At 44.5% G+C, this 18900-nt stretch overlaps 2 protein-coding genes across 19 annotated transcripts in view, besides 1 other annotated feature; both read left to right on the top strand.

Annotated features, from left to right (window-relative positions):
* AGBL4 (AGBL carboxypeptidase 4) overlaps positions 1-18900 on the top strand; it is a 1501444-nt gene that overhangs the window by 1273495 nt on the left and 209049 nt on the right. The gene's annotated exons all lie outside the window — the stretch shown is intronic.
* BEND5 (BEN domain containing 5) overlaps positions 1-18900 on the top strand; it is a 49373-nt gene that overhangs the window by 26432 nt on the left and 4041 nt on the right. For 8 of the 11 annotated variants that reach the window (NM_001349793.2, NM_024603.4, NM_001302082.2 and 5 more), the window contains 2 exons: positions 7689-7837; positions 14008-14221. In NM_001349793.2, coding sequence (NP_001336722.1) covers positions 7689-7837; positions 14008-14221 — 363 coding nt within the window. Of the gene's footprint in view, positions 1-7688; positions 7838-14007; positions 14222-18900 lie in introns of those variants that run through there. The other 3 variants (NR_146232.2, XM_047430520.1, XM_017002333.3) reach the window with 2 other exon arrangements.
* Positions 37-166: an enhancer, noted in NCBI's record as "active region_1011". NCBI's record gives its function as "activates an Ori minimal core promoter by ATAC-STARR-seq in GM12878 lymphoblastoid cells {active_cell/tissue: GM12878}" and the evidence as "EXISTENCE:reporter gene assay evidence [ECO:0000049][PMID:35858748]".

Here is an 18900-nt window from a genome sequence, read left to right as displayed (position 1 = left end):
CTGCAGGAGGCCCCAAGTTAAGGAACTATCTCAGGCAACAGGAGAGCCTAAACAAAGGTTTGGAGTTGCAAGAGAGGCTGGCTTATTCAAGGAACTGAAAGTAGTTCTGGTTGGACGGCACAGTGAAGTGCTGGGTAGCAGGAAGAGATGAGGTTGCAGACATAGATGAGAGCAAGCAGAACTACCCCAGCCCCTCCTACAGGTGGTTCATGGGGGCACTTCCCCATTGGAGTGGGCTGGGGTGCAGTCCTTCAACTCCTGAGTTGCTATTTTCCTCTGAGTCAGGCAAATCAATCAACAGCCATTTAGCAAAGATGAATCCCATATGGTCCCTACTCTGGAAGGGCTCATGGCCTGAAGGGAGTATCAGCAGAGGTCAGGGTCATGGATTGATTTGTTGGGCAGACATCCACCATGTGATCAAACTTTGCCTCCTCATAACTCCTACCCTCAGGCACTCACTGTGCCCACAGTGGTCCCTCAGGAAACTGGGAGCAGCCCTTATGCTGCCCACCCCACTTATTCCCACCACAACTCCTTAGCCCCCCAACCCAGCCAACTGTGGTCCATTTTACATGCATTGAATACATGTGTGGGCCTTCAATGCTTCCTTGACAGGGCGTTCTGCACATACCCTGCCATTTGGATACTCTCTGGGCACAGATAGTTGGGCAGGAGAGAAGTAGAAGAACCACAGATGAAGAACCAGTCCAGTTTTCCCTGGCCACCAGAGGATAAGTTCAGAGCTTCTAGAGGTGACAACCTATTCCCCTTCCACCGCACCCCTCATGATTGTGGGGCTTTTCACAGACCCCCTAGGAATGTCAGAGAAAGTCAGAGATGAGCTGAGGGTCCCACAGAGTGAGCATTAGGCAAGAAGCTCTGGAAAGTACAGTTCATTGAGGAGGGGTAGGGTAGTGGAAAGAGCTGTCTTTGGAATCTGACAACCCTGAGTTTGAGCACTCACCACCTATGTGACTTCTGGCAAGTTACTTTACTACTCTGAGTCTTTACAGAGATAATAAGATCGATTTTGTAGGACCACCATAAGGATTAACTTCTTTCGCTAAACACGTGTTTAGTGAGTGTTCTGTATGGAGGACATTGCGCTGGGTGCTGGGGATATAGCAGGAACATCCCCTCGGTGTTTATGTTCTAGTCAGGGAGCTGTTAAACAAACAATCACGTGACAGTGGGCTGAAAAATGCTACAGAGAGAAAAAAAGAGAGATACATTTGATATAAGATACTTAACAAAGAAGACTTTTGTAGGTTTCAGCCACCTTTCCTTCTCAAATATGTCATTTGAAATGGGCATCTGCAATTCCTCAAAGTCGGGGAGAACCTTGACCTCCAAGACTGGGGACCTGGGCCTGCTTTTTTCACCTCTTTCTTCCTGGGTGGGCTTCTCCCCCTTGGAAAGGGGGCTCTCTCGGATCCATTTCAACTCTGCTGCTCTGTGGTTCAGATTCCCCGAGGGTATGGCCCCACTGTGGAGGCATCTGTGTCAGCTGCTGGGATCTCACCTAATCCAGGATTCATGCTAGAATTTTTTTCTCCTGCCTCTGCCCAACGAAGCCTGCTCCTGCCCTCACTCACAGAAAATGGAGAGAGAGAGGACCTGAAGAACCCCGGCCTCACTACTCCCCCACCTCCCCAAGATGTCGCGCATCCATCAAAGCCCCAGTCAGAGATCACCACTTTCCTGAAGCCTTCTAGGATCCCTTAACCGGCAGTGATCTCCCCCTCCCCAAATTCATGCAGATCATCACATTGCACCCTTTGTGCACAGTGAGCCTGTGGTTTGTGCCACTTGCCTTCACCTTATGAGAACTACCCCACCCTAGGGTCACACACCCAACAAGCTCCTCTCATCCTCCAAGCCCCAACACAGAAGTTGGTGACCGTCCTTATGAAGATTTCCTAGTCTCCTCCAGAGGCAGCACCCCCTCCTTTGCTTCTGCCCCAGTTTTTCTCCTAATGCTTGTTAGCCACATGGCTGGTGGTAGTCTGCTGCCTGTCTCTTTCCACTGCTGGACAGTGAAGCACTCAGTTCCACCTAGCACAGGGCTGGCACTCAGGAGGTACTTAGTAGATTCTCACCAAAGGAATGAAACCAGATTTGTCTCTGCTTTCACTGGAAGACTAATGGGGCTAAGAAACAGAGGCACGCTACAGCAGCAGGTGAGAGCAGCTGATGACTTCTGAGAGGGTCTGAGAAGGTCCACAGAGGGGGATCCTCCTACCCAGCTCCGGAGGCATCTTCCCTAGTCTCTTTCCAAGGCCTTTGTTTAACTCCTTCATTGTTATGAAGCTGTTCCCCTGCCCAGGTACTTCTCGACAGTAAAATCATCTCTATTCTGCCAAATCTAGTACTTTCTGTGTGCCACAGCAGATGTTCTGTACGCATTTAGGAATTTTGACTTGATTTGCTATGCATTTATGAAGAAAATAGGATGGTACTTGTAACAGAGAAACTTCCTATCTACTTACAGAAGTAAAAGGATTTAGTCCTTTTTTCTAAAAAAAAGAAAGAAAGAAAAAAGAATCGAATATTATTAACCTTTCCATTTCAGCTGAAATCAGAAATGATATTTAGTGTCCAAACACATACATGTTTGAAAAAATAGGTGATTTCTAAACCCGGAAGTCACACAAACATAAACATTTGTGTTAATCAGAAAGAACAGCATTAGTCCAGTTTACGATACAACAAGAATAGAAAATGGTGTAATTTCATGTATTTGTTGCCCCAGCAAACACTTACAAAGACCGTAACTGTGTGTCATGCTTTCCATTTTAGGGAAAAAGCCAGTAGGGCTTAAAGAGGTAAAGTAAATAACAGAACCAGGATCTTTACCAGGTTTTTCTAACACTAAATCTATTGCTTATCCGTTAAATCAGAGTTATTTGTATGCTATATAATAGTGTTTCACATGTTAAATCTGAACTTCCCCAGAACAGGAACATACTTTGTCTCTGGGTCCCCAGTGCCTCTTGCAGAGCCTAGATCTTGATATGCAGTCAGGGGTTGTGTGATGAATGGGTTCATGAATGATTGAATGAAAAGACAAGTACTACCTTTCATACTTTTTAAAAGCTTCCTTTACCCAGCTGAGAGTTTTCTTTCCATGGAAGGTATATTTTCCCCAAAATAAACCTCAAGTGTGTGTCAATATCCGAATGCAAATGGATCAAAGCCCTTTTTTAAAAAAAAATTCCTACTCTTCCCACAAAGTGAAAAAAGTTCTTTTGTTACCTAAAATATCTGCGCCAGATTGTACAATGCTGTCTCTTAACGCAAGTGCTTATTATTGTGGCTAATTTGGTCACATGTGTTTGAGGGAGAACAATGCCTCAGAAATTTTTTAAAAGCAAAACAGCAATCTGAAGCATTTGTTGTAATGAGATGTAAATTGCCAACATCGGTAGTGAAGCCGACTAAAATTTGCAATGAAGTGATTTTCTCCCCTCTTAAATTAAAAGCACTAGGGGCCCTCCCTGCTCTCCCTGAAGAAAACACATGCTTTTTTTGTTCCTTTTCTTTCTGATCCTGTAATGCTAAACATTGCGCTCTGTTGATTGATTCATTCCTTCATTCATCTGCCGTTTTGCCAGCTTCTGTCTGTTCTGTGCCTGCCTCAGTGCTAGGCTCTTCCAGAGACGTCAGCAGCCTGCATGGTGGCTTTTGGTAATCCCCATTTTGCAGGTAGGAAAGCTGAGTTGCAGAGAGGGTAAGATGACCTGACTTCAAAGTCATGAGCTGGGATTCACACCCAGGTCTCCTGAACATTCCCTTTTAAGATGTACCTTTGGTTGGCTTTTCAAGCCGACCTTCTGTAGACAATGTCCTGGAAGGAGGAGGCTGTTGCGGAGAGCTTTCACCAGGTGTTAAGCAAATGGTGCTGAGTGAGAAATTTAGAAAATAGTTTTTCTTGAGAGCCAAGATCTCAGTATAGTAGCTTCAATATTTGACAGAAGTCTATCAGTCCCTTAGGACACCTTCGTGAGCCTTGAGGGGACCGTCGTGAACCTTGAGGAGAGTGGGTGGGCTGTGGAGTACAAGGACCTGCTCTGTGCTGGGCCTGTGCTAAGCACTAGGGGCAAAAGCAGAACAGCAGGGCCTCTGTTTCACAGAACCTATGCTTTAGTAGAGACGAACTTAAGCGCACAAGTGTAACTTGTGTGGGAGTGGGTGGAGAGGGAGTGAATGACTATTTACCAAAAAAACCCACTCTGTACTAGACTCTGAAATCATTGTTTCATATAAATATACGAATATATATATATAGTTATCTGATTTAATCCTCAGTCTTGCCAAGTCACTGTTATCTTTCCTCCTTTCAGGTGACACAACAAGATCAGAGAGGTTAAGCAATTATTTATGTGTACATTATCTCTTGAGGATAGAATGTGAATCAAGCACTGTGCCAGGTGAGACCTGGTCTCTGACATAAAAAGACACGGTCCTTGGCTGTCCTCAAGCCTCCTTTCTGACATAAAAAGGCACCGTTTTTGGCTGCTCCCTCCTCCTTTAGTAGGGGAGACAGATATAGAGACGAACAAGTACATCTGATTATTATGGTAGAGTAGGGGCAGAGGGGTGGGGAGAGTGCAAAGGAAGCTCTACTACCCAAGGAAGGTCACAAGTCAACTAAACAGTAAGTGGCAAACCCAGTACTTAAACCCAGTATTTGGAGCTCTGTCTCCAAATCCCAAGCCAAGGGCTAGAGATAATTATTTACTAGTCTTTGAGGGGATAGGGCAGCCTCATTGGAGAGATGGCATTTGAGTCAGGCCTTGCATCACTGGTGGAGTTTGTATAGGTGGACATCTCTAGGGGTAGAATGTTCTGGACAAAAGGAATGGCATAAGCAAAGAGTAGGAGGCAGGAAAGAATGGTGTATGTGTGGAGAGGGTTAGGCCAGCCACTTTGCCTAGAGTGGAGTCTGACTATGGGAGGGGACCAACAGGATGGAGCCAGAGAGGTGACTCTTTCAACCCCTGCTCCCTCTGATGTCCGTTAGCTGTCCCTCTGTAGACAGTGTGATAGCAGAGCCCTTTGTCTGTAACTGTGCCATGTGAATTGTCCATTCTAACTAGATGCTTCTGATTTCAACTTAACAGCCCTGATTTCTACTTCTCGGACTCCAAGAAAGATTACAGACATTCAGAACAGCTTCCCACCTGTCCATGCCTCTACCCTCAAGCACCTCTACTCAGCAGCAGGACTTTACTTCAGAATCTTTCTCCCAGCCCATTAAAGTCCCTCTCTTCCTCCCCTCTCATGTCATGAAGAATTTACTAAGAGCCTGCCATGTGCCAGGCGCTTCCCTACGCTCCAAGATGCTAAAGGGAGTAAAACTTTGCTCTTGAAGAGCTTTATAGTCTAATGTTGAAAACCGACAGGCAGATGATTGCAAACATAATTTGCTAAAAGTAGTCACAATGTAGAGACCCCCCCTACCTGGGAGTGATGACAATCAAGCCTCACAAAGGAGACACCTGAGCTATGTCCGAAAGTCTAACTGGGTGCTTGGCAGACAGATGAGGTAGTGTTCAGCGCCAAGACAAACAGCACAGAGGCCTGGAACAACATAGCATTTGGGGTACCTGAGCAGAGGTGAATATTGGTGGGGGGCAAGAAATGAACCCTAGCGGTAGAGAGGAGGCTGGTTGTTCTGGGCCTTATGGAGGCCATGGTGTGGGACTTAATTTTGAGGGTAGTGGGCAGCCTAAGCAAGGAAAGACAGGGTCATGTGGAAGATCCCTTTGATGGCCTTTATAGAGATGGATGGGAGAGAATCAACTGAAGTTACGGCTGTACTGGATTCATTCTGTTGTCCAGCCTCTCATGGAAGGAAAAGGAGGCTTTAGAGGAAAGACATGTTCTTGCTAAAAATGACCGTGAGTGAGTGCCTTTCATGGACCTCCTCTTTTCAGCCTATTATTTTTTTTCTGTTGACTGAAGGTCAGAGCTAGAAGAGACTTCACACGCCAACTCAGCTATGTGCTTTAGGGGAAATATAAGTAATTACCTTTTCCCAGATCTGAGAAAAGATCAAATGCTCCACTTGAATTTGTTTATGTCTCAAAATTTTAACCTGTGATCCCACACAGAGAGAAGAAACTTTGGTATTTGCTTCTGAAACTTTAGAATTACTCATTCATTGTTGTCATTGTTTTATTTACTTAGCAAACATTTAGAGAGTGCCTACTCAGCCCCAGGTGCTGGGGACAAAGGAAAGAATAAGACCTAGGCCCAGCCCTTGAATAGGTCTTGCACCTCTAATTGGGAGGTGCTGTCAGAACGATGATGATGCTATTGGTCCTTCGCTCTGCCAGGTTCTATATCTGTAATTTACTCACCTGTGGTCACACAATTAAAATATAGTGTAGCCAGGAATGGGACCTGAAATCTCTACCAGGATGAGTTGAGCTCTTTTATTTGCACTGTTCTGCTCCCCAACCATCTTGCATTCAGCTTTGTGCAAGTTTCATTCTTAAATTTTATGATACTACAGAGACTTCGTCTTTCAGTTAGCAGCTGCCAGCAACTCAGGATTGAGATTCTCTCCTGGGAAGCTGTATCATGAAGAATTTTAGTAACAAATTCACCAGGACCTTCACTGCCACCAACCAAAGTCTAGGATGTGTTAACTGAACCCAGAGTGGCAAGCAGATTGTTACAAAGGGCTTTAATATATAAAGAGCTTTGTACCCAGTTGTCCACATGGCTAGGATAAGAGAAGGCTGGTCTGTGAGTTCATCTGTTACCTAAGTTAACATGCACAGACAGAGGGAGCTGCTGTGGCAGTAGCCACATCTCTGATCTTAGTCAACTCCTGAAATGTTTGCATGGGGAGAATTTCCAGCATGTTAAATTATGTGGGCCTTTGAAGTTGTTCTCCCACAAAAGTTAATCAAGTCATTTGGCCTTATTTACCCATTTTCATCCTGTTTCTCTGCCCTTAAGTAATCAACACACAATAGGTGATTTTATAAAACAGTCCATTTTTAAAAGCTAATGGAGAAAAAATAACCCCTTTAGAAACTATCACCATTTATCTAGCTTCCTTTTTGCTGTTTAAACTGCATGTAATTTGTGTTGATTGCATTAAAATAAAAATCAGAGTAGCTGCTGGATCAGGCAATCAGGGGCTTAATGTGTATTGTGTTTTAATTTCTTGATTCAAATGCTCCAGTCTAGATACTAGGTCTTGGGGAGGGGGAGGCCTTAACATTTTTGCCCACACTTTCCTAAGCTCCCTTCTTCTGTTACGGCCTTCTCCACTGTAAGATACTGAGGTGAGGATTTTGGCAAATACACGATTTGCATATTTCAGTAATTCCCACCCCTTCTCCTCCAACCCAGGCGTAACAGAACCTCTTTCCTATGCAGGAAGTTGAATCCCTGCCTTTCCATTTAGACAATGACACCCTGGAAGAGTGCTCTTCATTCAAACTTGATTAGAGTCTAGTCCACTCTTGTCTTCCAGTTTTCCACCTTTTCCCTTGTGACATTCATACCTCACATTATTTTCGAGTCTGGGTTTAAGTGTAGTTCAATGGACAAAAATAAGCTAGCAAATTTTTTGTGCCATGGTGTGCTGATAGATGCCTAGTTAAAAATATTTGCCTTTTATTTTCCTTGGAGTTCTAGACAGATTTCTTTTCTTAACTGCCTAGGTCCCGCCATTGATCTGGAAAAAGTAAAGTCAGAATGTCTCGAGCCCGAGCCGGAGTTACGGAGCACTTTCAGTGAGGAAGCAAATACGTCGTCCTATTACCCCGCTCCTGCGCCTGTCATGGACAAGTATATCCTAGACAATGGCAAGGTAGTGTTTTAAGCTCAATATCCATTCCCTGCAAGTGTTTGTTAGTCAGAGTAAAGGTGGAGAGTATGGTGGGAGCTTTCCAAATCGCAGCTTGACTGGTTGGCCTCCTGGCCTAGCCCTGAATGACTGTTTCTGGAATTTGTATACTATCAGTAGCGTAGCTTTGCTGGGGCGTTTTCTCTTCCTTCTTCCTTTTTTTTTTCTTTCTTTCTTTTTTTAAAAAATATTGATCCAAAGCAACTGTAAAAGTAAATTGACATTTTAAAATAGCTTACTAGTGACAAAGATATTTCTTAATTCCCATGATAGTTTGATGAAACTTGTCCCACCTTCCTATGTAACCAGATGCCTAAAATTTATCAGGTGAACTGGAAATGAAGTATCTTATTTACAGATAACAACTCAGTTTGTGTTCATTCACCACTTAGAAAGTATCTGTATGTTCTAAGCCCTGTGCTAGATAACAGGAATACAGGGAAGAACAAGACATACTCCCTTATCCCCAAGCCTCCTTCAAGCTGTGTATGCAGCAGTGGTTAGCGCACAGTCCTAGGACCTTATAGAACTACTCAGCGTTATTTATATGACCTTGAAAACAAATCATAAACAAAAACTTAAGATTATTAGTAATGGAATCGCTCGTGAAAAATCTTAAAGTCACATGATGATATACCAGCAGGGCAGGGGAGGAAATTTTTCTGACATTCTTCTAACATTCAATTGAATTGATCTTTGAAGAAGTACATCAGAGCCCTTTGTGTTGGCACTGGTGAAATTCAGCTTTAGCGTTATGTTCTCTGCCACTGTGGCATGCATTACAGACATCGCCTCTCGTTCTCCTTAACGCGTCATGTGTTGGTTCATTTTTCTTGCCTCATGCTTCAAAAGGTCTCTGTTTATTTAGTATCATTCTCTGTTAGGTTGATGAGAAAGAAAAATTTGTTTTATTTGGGTTTGTCCAGATATGTCTCTGCAACTGGCCAACCTGAGCCAAAGCAAATATTGTCAAGCTGAGGAAATGAAACGTATTAGTTTTCAGGACTCTCTTGGATGTGGTGTCGTTCCCTGCATCTCCCACTGAGCGCCTCCTCCCCTGCAGAGGCAAAGCTGATGGGCCAGGCCACAGGCCCATTCTGCCTTGCCTTGCTGCCTTCAGCAGGCTTGAAACGTCAGCTTTGCAGAGGAGAGGTGGCATGACAAGTTGGAAGTCGGCAGCCTGGAGCCTGAGTTCTTAGCATAGCTCTACATCTGTCCTACCTGTGTGACCTTGCAAAGATCCTTCACTTCTCTGGGTCTCGGCATCCTTGTCTGTGAAAGATGGGATTGGATTGATGCTCTCCAAAGGCCTTTCTGATTCAAACTGTGTATCTAAGTTTGGTGAACCTTCCCCAATCAAAGATAAAAGATAGGACTATGCTATGTTTGTTGATTTCTTTTTAGTCATGAACACATTGTGGAGTGACTAGAGAGTTTTTCTTAAAGTAGCTTCCAAGAGAAATCTATTTCTCCCTTGCCTTGAAGGCTGATGGATAGTTTCAGAGCATTATAGGGGGCCTCTTTTGCAAAGATAGCATTCTTCCCCCAGAAAATGAGTCTCTCAAATCTCATTTAATATTTTTACACGTGAGTTGAACAGCAAATCTTGAAAATGCCTATTTTGTTTTTTCATTGGTTTTTGCCAGCATGTTGCTATAAGACTAACCTGGTTTTTATTTGCACCTAATTGGTAGTCAGGCAGAGAGAGTTTTAAATGCAGAGGAAAGGAAGTGGACGCACTGGAAATGATGGCAGCTTCCCAGAACAGCATCTCCACATCCCAGAAGTAGCCCTCATTGTTCTTGGCTCTGCTGTCTTGTCTGACCCTTCCTTCTGTCTGCACGATCAGAGGCCTTAATCTCTGCAAGGCTTAGAGCACTGGAATGGGACACATTTCCTAGTAGGAAATGATTTTTGTCCTATAAAACTTTTCACATAAATATATTTTGATCAAGTTCCATCCTACCAGATGCCATATTTTTAATAACCTCCTTTGACACATAACACTAACACTTTGGTCAAATAGTATACTGTGGTTTACATGAATCAGGCTTGCCACACAAATTTCTGATTTGGGTAAAGTGCATTGTGTTTCTTTGTCTAAATGTTTTATTTCAAAAACTCATTGAATCATAAAGCTGCAAAGACCATCAAATTTTAAATAACCTAATTTATACATAGTATGGGTAGGGAAACATATCCAGAGAAGGGACTCCTCTATAATTACATAACAGGTTAGAGGCAGGCAGGAACTGAAAGCCAGACCTCCTGGTTCCCAGGCCAGTACTCTCACCAGTCTGTTCTGCTACATCCCTGAAAACTGAACATTGCTCCAGGTGACCTTGAGCCTTGCTAACCTCAGGGGCCCTTGTCTCAAATGCCCCGGCCTATACCTGTGATTGGTCATAGCAAAGCCCATTTCTTTCTGTGTTCTAAAGTTGGCCTTGTACTTGAGTGAATGTCAGAAAATATTTTCATCTCCAAGGAACAGCAGCTCATCAGAAGTGAAAAACAGTTCCATAAAGACATTAAATATGCCCATCAATTTCTTACTGCTTTGTGTACAGACTAGCCCTTATCACTTTGTAGGGGACAGAAGAGGCAAAGCCTTGACCCTCCCCACTGACATGTACTGTGAAGGACTGAATCAGGTGGCAAAGGCTCTAAGTGAGCTAGAAATTCATAAAGGATAGAACTTAGCTCTGCAGTAATTAAGGAGTGTTTCCTGAATTTTAGACTGGGACTTGAAAGATTAGCAGGCTTAAGAAAACGTAGGGAAAACATTTATTCCTGGACAAGAGAATGGCAGGAGCGGAAACATGGGGAGGGGAAAGAGGGTAAAGGATGTAACAGTTGCTGTGTCCTCCTGACACTTTACACATCTTTTCTCATTTAACCCTCTCAGCAACTCTGAGGTAGCACTGATCTGCTGACTGTATAGCTGAGAAAAGTAAGGCTCAGGAAATAAAGTGACTGGCCCAAGTTAACCAGCACGCAGGTAGAATAGCTGAGATTTACACCCAGGCTGGCAGCTCCAGCACCCATCCTCTTGATGTTACGGCACACTGGAAGTAGCGGGAAATGAACAAGTTCCGGAATTTTGTAGTGTAGATGGACTATGTAGATGAATATAGTAGAGAAATGAAGTAGTAGTGAACAGAATGGATTCTAATGGGCCTTCAAAGCCAGGCTGAGGAAGTTGGATTAAATGTGATAGAAAACAGGGAGCCATTCAAAATTCCAGAGGATTTACCTAAAAACACAGTTGAAAGACTGCAGAAGTCATCTAGTCAAATAAGGAAGGAGGTATTTTAGGGAACTTAATCTGTCGTGATTATAGGATGGGCGGGTTGAAGGGAGCAAGGACTGGAGGCAAAGGCCAGTCGGTGGCTGTTTTCCTGGTTTCCCTGTCTGCAGTGGTGAACTGCACTGGGAGCTGGTGTGGGAAGTAGCCAGGCAGATACAGAGGAAACTCAAAAGGAAAACTAACTGAACATTGATGTGTTAGGTCTGCTGTCTTTGATCTACATCAGTACCACCGTGGTGGCAGCAAGGAAGACAGGGAGAGCAGAAGCTTCAGGATTTGGGTTTGAATCTTGATTCCAAAATTGACTGATTGTGTACCTTAGGAAAAGTTACATAGTCCCTCTGAATCTCTGTTTACATCTGTAAAATGGGAAAATAATTTCTACCTATTTCCATCTCTTAAGGTCATTATGAGGAATAAATAAATTGAATGTACAATACCTGGTTCATTGTACGTGAACCAGGTACTCAAAAAATACTAGTACCCCTTTTCTCTTGTAGAACATTGGCTAAAAGGACTTTCATCTCCCTTTCAAGAATAACAAATTAAAAGATCACAGGAAAGCAAGGATCAGTGGTGGGGGAAAAAAGCAGAGATTTTTGAAAAATGTAAAGTTGGCATCCATCTCTATGATTTTCTGATTCAGAATTTAATGTAATTCAAAGTTCCTTGTTTTTCTCCTATCTCAGGAAGCTTGTGTGGGTGGCTTCAAGTGTCATCAAGGGAAGTGATGCAGGGTCCAGCAGGGAGCAGTGGGGAACTTGTCCCCAGCATGCCCAGTCTGGCACACAGACTGCCCACCTGCAGTTCGAACTGCGGAGAAAAGGCCACACTTGACCTTGGTGTCCGTGTTGCCTAGCCAGCAGCCAGGTAGTACATCTCACTCCAAGGCTGCTTATCTTTCCTGAGCGGATGAACAGATTTGCAGTACTGAAGTTTACAGCACAGAGAGGCCAGGTGGATCTAGTTATCTGATTGCCTGCAGCAGTCTGACTGATCTTTTGAGCAAAAGGAGGTGAAGTCAGACGTGCAGGTAGATTGTTGACTTACATTCATGGGTGGGCTGCATTGCTATTTTTTTTCTTCTTGATGGTTGGAAAATTTCAGTAATTGGTAAAGGAAGAAGTTTTGCTGGCTGACCTGACTGCCTAACTATGTGTATTCACCTTCCTTCCCAAGCCAAGCTCCAGTAGTAGAAAGATCTTTAATTGTTTTTTGAACAATTGATCTTGCTGGTCTGCCATTAGTTGGGTATGCATCCAGTCTCTTAGACCAGGGACCTCTCCAGAGATGTCTCTGACCATGTGATATTGGCAAACTGCAGGCCTTTCTGAAAACAAGGACCTTTGGCAGGTCCTTCTCATGTCCCTTAGAAAGTTTAGCTCATTAGCAGCTGCCGCCCTCTGTCCCCACAGAGGCCATTTCGTCCCTTCACAGACTCAGCAGAAGCATGACATAAATGGCAATGTCAAAGTGAACACTGTTTTTTTAATGATTAATGTTAGTAAATGACTTGTGAGATCTAAATTTTATACTCTTTTTTCTTTTTTAGATTTACTAAAGATGCAGAAAGGAGAACAAATTAAAATCTTATAGCTTATTGCTGGAACATTCTGGGTCTTATTGGCTCTGCACTGAAACTCATAGGGAGCATAAGATTGTGTTTTGTTCTTTGTGCCGTCGGAATCAAACTGGGTACCTTGTGGTTGTGTTTAAAATCATAGGTGTTTTGAGCCAGAAGGAACTTTGAGATGAAATCCAGCTCCACCACTTCATAGGTAGGGAAATGAAGCTCAGAGGTGGGAAAGGACTGGCACAGCCCTACTCCAATTGGCAGGGCAGCTGCTCTCCTTACTTGAGCTGGCAGAGGTTTTCACACTTAGCCATACACTGGAATTATTTAGGCCACACCCAGCCCAAATAAATCAGAATCTCTAGGAGTGGGGCCCACGAACTGATGATTTTTTTTTCTTTTCTTTTTTTCTTTTTTCTTTTTGAGACGGAGTCTCGCTCTGTCTCCCAGACTGGAGTGCAGTGGCACGATCTCGGCTCACTGCAACCTCTTCCTCCCAGGTTCAAGCGATTCTCTTGCCTCAGCCTCCCAAGCAGCTGGGACTACAGGTGCGTGCCACCACACCTGGCTAATTTTTTTGTATTTTTAGTAGAGATGGAGTTTTACCATGTTAGCCAGGATGGTCCCAATCTCCTGATCTCGTGATCCGCCCACCTCTGCCTCCCAAAGTGCTGGGATTACAGGTGTGAGCCACCATGCCTGGCTGTCACTGGTGATTTTTACAGCTCCCTAGGTGACCCCTGTGTGCAGCCAAGGTTGAGAACCACCATACTAGGAAGGTATATGTCCCAGAATGTTCACATTAAAGGAAGGTGGGTCTTTCCATAGTGTAACACAGAAAGAAGTTAAGCATGGGTGTCCTGAGATTTGGTAAGGCTCTGAGCAGCCTTGTGATAAACTAAGTATAGTGTAGAATATCAACTCTGCCACTTACTAGTTGAATGATGTTCAGCAAGTCACCTCACCTGTCTGAACCGGTGTTTCCATCTGAAAGGAAAATGGTGTTATAATGCCTTCTATCCACAATTGCCATGAAGATTTAAGATAGCAAATATAAAGCCCTAGAATAAGGCCTGGCACACTACACGTATTCAGTAGATGATAGCTATTACGATTACCCTTAAAGAGAGTTAATTTCATATTTATGACATGAATCTCTTACAGTTGTGCAGCAATGCTTTTTAAAGGACAAGAGAAGCCTCCCACTGCCCTCCTGTCGGACTAAACAGGTGCTGGTGTTCTTATTCCTCTCAGGTCCATCTGGGAAGCGGGATTTGGGTTGATGAGGAGAAATGGCACCAGCTACAAGTAACCCAAGGAGATTCCAAGTACACGAAGAACTTGGCAGTTATGATTTGGGGAACAGATGTTCTGAAAAACAGAAGCGTCACAGGCGTCGCCACAAAAAAAAAGAAAGATGCAGTCCCTAAACCACCCCTCTCGCCTCACAAACTAAGCATCGTCAGAGGTAGGTCACTGAGTGGAAACACAATGGCTGGGATTCTGTCTTTTACTCTGTCAAGAATGTGTTAGGCACAATTCAATTCAACGATTACTTATGAAGCTTCTGCATGCCAGACCCTGGGCTGAGCCCGGGGACACCAAGCGGATAACCCAAATGCCCCAGAAGAGCTCACATTTACCAGGGCAGATGAGCTGTGGACACAAGTACGATTATATTCCACAAGGAATTAGCATGAGAAAGGGACAGATGGTGTGCTAAGGGAGTTCTCAGGAGGGGAGGATACCCTTAGCTGGAAAATCAGGGAAGAATTCCTGGGGACGGGGGTCACTGAACTGGGCCTTGAAGAATACGGCAGACTAGGAGACACAGATGTGTATGGTGAGGTATTGCTCTTCTGGAGGCAGAAGCATCTTGAACAAAGGCATGGAGATGGGAAAGGAATGCTGCTGTGTACCCAGAGCAGGAAAGGTCAAGGCTAGGGGACGCAGTTCTTGGTGGTTCTAGCATTGTGCCTGGAGCAGTTAATGAGATGAAGACCAGCTGGTAGTCACTAGATTCAGCTTCCTTTCTGGTTCCTTTCTGGTATATGGGAGAGGTTGGAGGGCAGGCAAAGAGACAGGGAGTCATTTGTCTCCCTAAAGATAGGGCTGTATCCTGGACTCTGGAATTTTCTCTTCCTCCCTCCCTCCTTTCCTTTTTCCTTCTTCCTTCCTTACTTCCTTCCTTTCTTCCCTCCTTCCTTCCTCCTTCCTCCTTTTTCCTTCCTTCCTTTCCTCCTTCCTCTACTTTCTCTCCTTCCTCCTCTCTTCTTTCTCCTCTGTCTTTTTTCTTTCCTCCCTCTCTCCCACCCTCCCTCCATCCATCCATTCTTTGCCAGGCCCTCTAATGGGTATTGAAGACACAAAGAGGGGTAAGACACAGCCTTCATCTGCAAGGAGTTCATATTCTCACAGGGAAGATAAACACAAAAACAACTAGTTACTCTACAGAAAACACAAACTATAGAGACAGACCATGGTGTAGAGGGAGCAAAGAGAATAAAGTAGTTGCTAATTATTTTAGGCACTTAACTGTGTTTCAGGATTTAGGGGTTTTTGTTAAATGGTTCTCTTTTAAAAAACACTTTTATGTATGTTAACTCATTATCCTCATAGCAACCCTACTGTTGGCTACTATTATAATTCCTATTTTACGGACAAGGAAACTGAGACACAGAAATGTTAAGTAACTTGACCAGGTTATACAGCTAGTGGGAGGAGAGCCAGGAACCCGAGCCAGCAGGCTGTCTTCAGAATCTGTGCTCCTAACCACTGACTAGTGTCCAGGTCTGCCATGTCTTCATAAAGAAAGTAAGACTCAGTCAGTCAACACATATGTTTTCAGCAGACTCTGGGGGCAGACAACAAATATGTCCAGGAACAAGCTCGATAACTTCAGGTACTGTGAGCTTGCTCATATGATGTGGTAGGACAGAGAGGGCTGCATTCACTGGGGTAGTTGGAGAAGGTCTGTTTGAGGAGGTGACATTTGAGCTGCAATCTGGATGTGGAAGAAGCATCTTTATAATGGTCTGAGGGGTGGCAAATCAGGCAGAATAAGCAGCAGGTATGAAGGCTGGCATGCTCCGGGTGTGAAGAAGCCCCAGATGGCTGGGATGTAGAAGGAAGAGTGAGGTCAGGGAGGTGGGCGAGAGCCTGTCTTGTAGGGCTGGGAAGGCCACAGTAAGCAGCTTGGATTTGCTGGAGTCAAAGGGCAATGGAGGTCTTCCAGTCATGGAGTGACCACATGGGAGATGAGTTACAAAGCTGATACAGTGCTCTTGGTGAGAGATGCTGCTGCCATAGACTAAGGGCACAGCAGTGGAGGTGGAGAAATATGCCCAAGTGTAGGGTGTATTTTGGAGTTCAAGGTGGCAGGACATAGGGTAAGCAACCAGCCTGAGGTCAAAGCTATAAGGTTTCAGAGCCTAGATTCAAACACACACCCGCCGACTCTGGTCTGGGGCTTGTTCTGCTGTAACATAGCTGCCTCCCTTGCCTGGCTGACTCCGGATTAATTGATTTAGGCAGCCGCTTATTTTTGGATAATCAGAGGTAACCTTTCGTCTTGCTGCTGTCTGAAATGGTAAAGCCTGATTTGGGAGGTCACCCTGAGAAAAAGGCCATCCTGGGGATGCAGCCCTGCCCTGCCCTGCCTGGTAGGTGACCGACCTCTAATTCTGCTATGTTTGTTGGAACGTGACTCAGGAGGTCCTGGGTGCCTTCAGATAACTGTCTATTCCTGCCATTATCACATGGTATAAAATCATCTGCTGTGTGTCTCCTTCAGGGATCTGGGGACTGTATCTGATTCATCTCTGTGGCCTCATTTCCAAACATAGTGTCTGGCACATAGTAGGCACTCAGTAAACGAAGGTTGAACAGAAGAAACACAGAGACCCACAAGCTGATCGCCTGACCAAATTTTGTGTGATTTCTTGTAAATCACTTTCTCTCCATGTTTCAGATTTCTTAGCTGAAAACTAAGCTGAAATCATCTTACCTCGTAAGATAGTCAGGGCTGCCTAGGATTGTAGCAGTGCAGCAATGTAGAAGAATACACCTCAGCCATGCATGTGGCTTGGGCCATTACACACTCCTTAGCTCCAACCCCAGCTGGAACTCAGCATCATCTGCCAAGTTGTGTGAGTTTCCCTCCCTGATCTACTACCTCATTTTCCAAGCCGTTTTTAAATTTTTTTACTTTTTCCAAATATGATAGTTCGCATCAATCAAAGAGATAGGCCTTGTCTCTTCTTTCACAGAGGAAAATAAAGGAATTTCCACAGTTTTGAGGCATCACACCTACAGACTTAACTATGTCCTCCATTTTCCTGCCTCCTGTCCCAAAGGAGTTCCTTATTTGGGGCTGGTGATTCTCTCCATCTGGGCTCTGGATTTCAGTCCACCTGCCTTCCTAAGTACCTTGTTCCTTCAGTTATGCTCCTGCTCTACTACTGGTTCCTTCCCAGCATCATGTAAATATATTTGATCACTCATTTCTTACAAAAGCAAAGAAACCCTCCTTAAAGGGCACTCTGTCACCCAGCTGCTATCATATCTCCCTTCTTTCACATGCAGGCTCCTGGAAAGACGAGCTACACCCACTGTGTGTGTTCCCTGGTAATGCCTTTGCCATTTGCCTTCCCCTCCCAGCCTTCTGCTTAATGTGTTTTCACCAAGGTCCCCAGTGACTTCCTCGTCTCTAAATCCTTGTGTGTTTCTCACAGTCTCACTGGCACTGTTTGACACGATCATTCCTCCTTCACTGAGAAACCTGTTCTGCACGCTGGGGATTTCTTCCCATCTCTCTGGTTTCTCAGTCTCCTTGATGGGCCCTCTCCTCTGTGTCCAGCCATCTTCTCGCTGATCCTACCAAGCACTCCTCAGCTTCTCTCCTCACTTCCTATTGTTCCCATTGCCTTCAGTGTGCCCTTGACTTTGGGTTGAAATCTGTACTCCTCACCTGTTACAGATGATCTGCCTTTGGGACGCCTCTGACCTCATCTTATACCACACTTCCCATTTGCTATTGTGCTGTAGCCCTGGAGGCCTTCTTCCAGGTCCTTTCTGTTGCTACTCCCTTGCTCCTGATCTGCGTGCCCTCCCTCCCTGTCACTGAGAGAGGCCTCCCCAGCCACTCAGTCTAAAGTAGCCTCTCCATTGCTGTCTGTCACATCACCCTACTCCAAGTCTCTGCATAGCATTTCCTATTTACTTTTTTTACTTGTTAATTTTCTTTCTTCTCCCACTTCCATTAGAATTAAACTTTATGAGCATCTTGTTCAGGGCTAGCCTATAGTAAGTGCTCAATAAATATTTGTTGATTCAATGAATGATGATTCCCAAATCTGTATTTGACTCAATTCACACTTCTGATTTCTTGATCTATGATCAAAGTGCCCACTGGTTATCTCTTCACAGATGCCCACATGACATTGGCAAAACTGCACTGCTCACTTCTCTCTCTTTCTTCCTCTCCTTCTCTGTGAAGCCTTTGCCTCTTCTATGTTCCCTGTCTTGGTGAATAGTACCACCAGCCAGGCACCCAGGTCTCATCCTTGACTCCTCCACATCCCTCACTACCCATCTGTTTGGCCCCAAATCTCTCTTAAACCACTGCTGATCCACTCCCCCATTTTCTAAGCCATTTTAAAGTTTCTCTACTTTTTCCAAATATGGAGAGAACCATCTGCATCTCTCCACAGTACTGCCCTTCTCATAGCCCACACTCATTTCTCCCCTCCATTACTCTGGCAGCTTCCAGACTCCTCTCTCCATTATGTAACCAGAGCAATCTTCAGAAACCAGATATCCCTTGACCACCACCCAGTCACAGCCTGTTCAGAATGTTCACTGTTGAAGGGTAAGCTTCTAAACATGCCATAGAAGCACCTGTGTAATCTGGTTTCTGGCTATATCTCCTGTATTATTTTTCAGCAGTATTCCCCTTGAACTTTAAGTTATTACCATGGTGAACTGCTGTATTTCGTGAACAAGCCTTGTTCCCTGTCACCTTGGGGAATTTGCAAATACTTTTCCGGATGCCTGGAACACAGGTCCCACTACCTACCTTCCATCTGTGCTGCTTTGCCTGGCTAACTGCTGCTTACCACCCAGATCTGCTTAGGTGAGCCTTCCTTC

Source organism: Homo sapiens, chromosome 1 (genome assembly GCF_000001405.40).
Source record: "Homo sapiens chromosome 1, GRCh38.p14 Primary Assembly".
Classification (NCBI taxonomy): domain Eukaryota; kingdom Metazoa; phylum Chordata; class Mammalia; order Primates; family Hominidae; genus Homo; species Homo sapiens.
This window is presented reverse-complemented; position numbering and strand designations above follow the sequence as displayed.